Below are 5594 nucleotides of genomic sequence, written 5' to 3' on the forward strand. Positions count from 1 at the left end.
AGGTACATGCATTTTTTTTCTGAGTATGCTATGACCCTCAAAATATTAGGGACCACTATTTTGGACTCAGTGTAACCACCCTTTCCATTGTAAAGTCTTCACTTTTTAGTGATGCTCTTAGCCATTGAATATCATGTAACATATAACATTTTCTTTAATATTTTTAAGCAGGCAAGATAACTGTTGCTTTCAGCAGGAAATCAATGGGTCAAAGTGGGATTCTAAGCAGGCTAACTCCTGTATGAAGTGGGTTCAGAGAAGAATCTAGTGCTCAAGCACAGCCCCATTTGATGAATGCCTTGAAAATGCATGATCAAAATCCACTCCCCTAATTTTTCTTTTCTTTCTTTCTCTTTCTTTCTCTCTTTCTTTCTTTCTTTCTTTCTTTCTTTCTTTCTTTCTTTCTTTCTTTCTTTCTTTCTTTCTCTCTCTTTCTTTCTTTCTTTCTTCTTTCCTTCCTTCCCTTCCTTCCTTCCTTCCTTCCTTCCTTCCTTCCTTCCTTCCTTCCTTCCTTCTTTCTTTCTTTTTTTTTTCTTTCTTTCTTTCCTTTCTTTTTTTTTTTTGACGGAGTCTTGCTATGTCGCCAGGCTGGAGTGCAGTGGTGAGATCTCGGCTCACTGCAACCTTTGCCTCCTGGGTTCAAGCAATTCTCCTGCCTTAGGCTTCTGAGTAGCTGGGATTACAGGCATGTGCCACCATGCCCAGCTAATTTTTGTATTTTTAGTAGAGACGGGGTTTTACCATGTTGGCCAGGATGGCCTCGATTTCCTGACCTCGTGATCCACCCCACTCAGCCTCCCAACCTGCTGGGATTACAGGCGTGAGCCACTGCACCCAGCCTCATTCCCCTAATATTAAGTTGTTGATTCCTGTTAATACACAAATCCGTAAATTCTAGTGTAAAATCTACCACTTCAGAATATAATCCATTATCATCCTTTAAAAAAATGAGTTTTATGTATTTTCCCAGTAGAAAGAAAGGGCAGGAGAAGGGATTTTATGGCTCCTGGCATCCTAAGGAAAATAAAAGCACTACTACAAGAAAAAAATGAGGAATTTAGAAAAATGAAAGTCAAATTTTATATCCTTTCCATTTTGTTAAATGATACTAAATGGCAGCGGTTTTCATGCTGGGATGTAAGTACCTCTGGAGGATCACAAACATCTTCTAAGAGGTACAGAGATACTGAGGCTTTTGAGGGAATTAATTTGCAGATACTCAAGTTCTCTGTATATTCCCTCCTGAAACTAACTGCCTGCAAATAAGCATGAGGTCATGCCGATGGTCCTTTCCCATCTTTCTCCCACTATGCAAAAGAAAGGGAAATCTCTTACCTGTCTAGGATCATACTGTGGTGCATTGCTCTGCTATGCAAAAACTGTTGGGACATCATATAAAAGTATCATTGAAAATACTGATGTAGATGGAAATATACAAATAATTTTAATTGCTTAGTCACAAACTAATATGCAAGTGAATTTCATTCCAATTCTTTGCTTTCAACAGAATTGAAGGAGGATCCAAATGAATTGTTAGCCGTGTGACTTTGTTAGGTAACTTTCAATCAACTGAGAGCCATTATTACAGCAAAATTCCTTCTTCTTCCCTCCCCATTAAATTGTTTATGTAACCAAGTGCTTATATGTATAAAAATAAGAGTTGAATTGATGCTAAATCCTCTCATTTTCTTTTATCAATGAGTAGTATTTAACCATGGTTACACATACTGATTGAAGAATGAAAGCTTTATATGCCTCATTAAGAAATACATTTCCAATAAAATTTGTCTTATGTTTATTATCTATTAAGTATATTTATTATGTTTTAGCCAATAATGCATTAGTAATACTTACAATACTGTGGAAAGTCTTTTTCTCTTTAACATTTAGAGCTCTTGAGTCTCCAAAAATAAAAATAAATAAAAATAAAATTGTTAGAAACACTTTGATGTGTGTGTGTGTGTGTGTGTGTATGCAGGAAAGTGTGATAGCTTGAATAACAATAAATATTAAAGCAAAAAATGTATTATACTAGGAAAAATTCTTTGGGAAAAGCAGAATAATAATTAGAGTATAAGGAGAAAAATGAATAATGTTACATTTCTGACCATTAAGAAGACCCTTCTCATTTATTTTTCAATGAATGATGGTGGGTATCAAATTACTATTGACAAGTTTGGAAATGTTATATTTCAAATTTATAATTTAAAATTTCAGTATTTACAATATGTTAGAGATTACATATTTCACAAGTATTTAGACTTGTGTAAATGTTTTACTCTCAGTTTAAAAATACATATGAGAGTCACAGATTTTAATTTTTTAAAAAAGGATATATGAACAAAAAATTTGAAGACCTCTTCTCTGAAGTACACAGAGGGCAGAATTTTCTTTCCCATCTCAGTATCATGCATTATGAAAAATTATGGTTTTTTGGGTTTCTTTTCTTGGGGTCCTCTGAAAATAGCCTCCCAGGATAGGTCAGAAACTGAGAACATTCACAGTAAAAATCACTGACTCCTCAGAGAGATGCCGCAGACTTTGGGATGGTATTGGGGACTGAAAGTAAGGGAGCTGGGCCAAAAAAAAGAGGAAAGGGTTGAGAAGGGGATACAGCCAGAGGCAAATATCCTGTACCTTGATTTTCCTGGCTGTGGCTTTGGCTCTTAAGAGGGCTCTCCCTGAGTGTGATCACACACCTTCTGCTGTGGTTTGAGAAGGTGCAGGGAAGGAGATGACCCTGGGAACTCCGGGCCTTAACTCCCACACCACCTCAGGAGAACCATCTCTAAGGAAGGAATCAGGCAAACACAATTTAATGAAAGAAAAAACAGTCAATCTTTGTCTCCTTTATTTTCAGGAATGAATCTTTTTTCTGTTTATTAAATTATATTCAGCTCTTCATTATTAAAACTTTTTATTTCCTTTACACACCCAAGTCCAACACTTTGCTTCATAGTACTTTGGATTGTTAGCTACCCATTTAGTGCAAGGTTTTTGAGTGAGTGAGGGGGCAATACTCTTGTCAAATTTCTGACTGATTTGACCCTGCATCTGAATTCATACCATATTTATAAAAAGCAAAGCAATGGTTAAATCTTTTCTTTGGTGCTGGGGAGACAATCCCGAAATCTACTGATGTGCTATCAATACAAAAATAACAATGTGAGTATTCACCATAAAGTAGTTGGGTATGTTTTATTATGTATGATTTTTACTATTGGGGTTAGTGACAACATAATGTATTGGGGGTGTCAAGACTTAGGTTCCTGGGCCAGCCAGTATTGCTACCAAATGCTGTATGTCCTTCAAAAAATGTTGGCCCCAACATTGTTGGTTCTTAGTTTCCACAATTTTAGAATGAAAGAGTTTTGACCAATCTTCTTTTCCTTTTTCTACTGGAACTTTATGATATGACTTTCTAATCCTATATCAACTCTTCCCACATCACATGTATTTGTTCTATTCCTAGTAGCACTGAGCTACTAAGATTCCCTTCTTTGAATCTTATAAACTTATGTATTTCTGATATTCCTTCTGTTAGGTAGTGATCTTCTTAAGAAGGACAAATTTAAATTCAAATTTGGGTCATACACAATTTTCCCATATTATATGCCACACAAGTATTGGTTAGACTGACCTGGAATTGTCTCCTCTTCTATCTCTTCTATTTATTATTCTACTAATGCCAAGGTTCATTTTGTAGATGAACATTGAGTGATCTTGTTTCTATATCATGTTTTATCTTTCATTCCTTTTCCCATATCCATATTGACCTAATTTAATGTTCTGTCTTTGTAGTCCAGAATTAAATTTTTCTCTTTTTCTTGTATATCTACTTAACCTCTTGAAACTGTATCTAAGAATCTGCGTTCTACTTTATTCTCTACTTATTTGATTGTTGCGGGAAGTCAGGGACCCTGAACAGAGGGACCAGCTGAAGCCATGGCAGAAGAACATAAATTGTGAAGATTTCATGGACATTTATTAGTTCCCCAAATCAATACTTTTATAATTTCTTATGCCTGTCTTTACTGCAGTCCCTGAACGTAAATTGTGAAGATTTCATGGACATTTATCACTTCCCCAATCAATACTCTTATAATCTCCTATGCTTCTTTACTTTAATCCTTAATCCCGTCATCTTCATAAGCTGAGGATGTATGTTGCCTCAGGACCCTGTGATGATTGCATTAACTGCACATATTGTTTGTAAAACATGAGTGTTTGAACAATATGAAATCTGGGCATTCTAAAAAGGAACAGGATGACAGCAATTTTCAGGGGACAAGGGAGATAACCATAAGGTCTGACTACCTCTGGGGCTGGGCAGAACAGAGTCATATTTCTCTTCTTGCATAAAGCGAATAGGAGAAATACCCCTGAATTATTTTGCCAGCAAGGAATAACCCTGGGAAAGGAATGCATTCCCAGGGGGAGATCTCTAAAATGGACGCTCTGGGAGTGTCTGTCTTATGCTGTTGAATATAAGGGATGAAATACGCCCTGGTCTCCTGCAGCACCCTCAGGCTTGCTAGGATTAGGAAATTCCAGCCTGGCGAATTATAGTCAGACCAGTTGTCTGCTCTCGATCCCTGTTTCCTGTTAAGATGTTTATCAATGACAATGTGTGCCCAGCAAGACATGGAACCTCATCAGTAATTCTAATTTCGCCCTGGCCTTGTGATCTTGCTCTGCCTTTCTGCCCTTGTGATCTTTTATTGCCCTTTCAAGCATGTGATCTTTGTGACTCACTCCCTGTTCGTACCCCCTTCCCTTTTTAAAATCCCTAATAAAAACTTGCTGGTTTTGCAGCTCAGCGGGCATCATGGATCCTGCCAATATGTGATGTCACCCCCGGAGGCCCAGCTGTAAAATTTCTCTCTTTGTAGTCTCTCTGTTTATTTCTCAGACTGGCCGACACTTAGGGAAAATAGAAAAGAACCTAAGTTGAAATATTGGGGGCTGGTTCCCCCAATATTTGATTATCTTTATATTCTTGGCTGTCTTTCTGGTACTAATCAACTTCACTATGGGGCTATATTTTAAAATGTTAGTGTTCAGAGATGATGGAGATAGATTGTTAGTAAAACCCATGTTCAATCAATTTACTCTTTCATTTACATAATACTTTTTTGTATTAAGAAAACTACATTTTTATAAAAGTGAGAATAACACATACTTTCTACATGTTTGCTTACTCTACTGTTCACCAATTTTCATGTGATGGATGCTTAAGCCATAAGAGAATACATTTTTCTCTTTTATCCTCAATCAAAAAAGTTGAAACATAATGCTGTGATATTTTAAATGTGGTAGACAGTATTAACATAAATTGAAAACCTAATAAAAAATCTGTTTTCAAACAAAGTATAGATTTTTCAATAAAATTAATAGGAAATATAATAATAAAAAGCTGCAAAGTAATAGCAGTGTAACAAATCCCCCACCTCTTATTCTCTGCAGGCTTTTTTTTTAAAGCCATAAATACTCTCAATTTTATAAATCCAATTGAAAGCTCAGTTTAGTCTTAGAAAGGTGCAGCCACTTCACTGACCTTCATTTCATTTCTTTAAAAAGTATAATTGGAAATA

General features: G+C 36.1%; 1 annotated feature.

Annotated features, from left to right (window-relative positions):
- Window positions 4352–4874: an enhancer, noted in NCBI's record as "NANOG hESC enhancer chr6:114885549-114886071 (GRCh37/hg19 assembly coordinates)". NCBI's record gives its function as "activates a minimal SCP1, AML or CMV promoter by ChIP-STARR-seq in naive H9 embryonic stem cells {active_cell/tissue: H9 hESC(naive)}" and the evidence as "EXISTENCE:reporter gene assay evidence [ECO:0000049][PMID:30033119]".

The sequence above is a fragment of the Homo sapiens genome, chromosome 6 (genome assembly GCF_000001405.40).
Source record: "Homo sapiens chromosome 6, GRCh38.p14 Primary Assembly".
Classification (NCBI taxonomy): domain Eukaryota; kingdom Metazoa; phylum Chordata; class Mammalia; order Primates; family Hominidae; genus Homo; species Homo sapiens.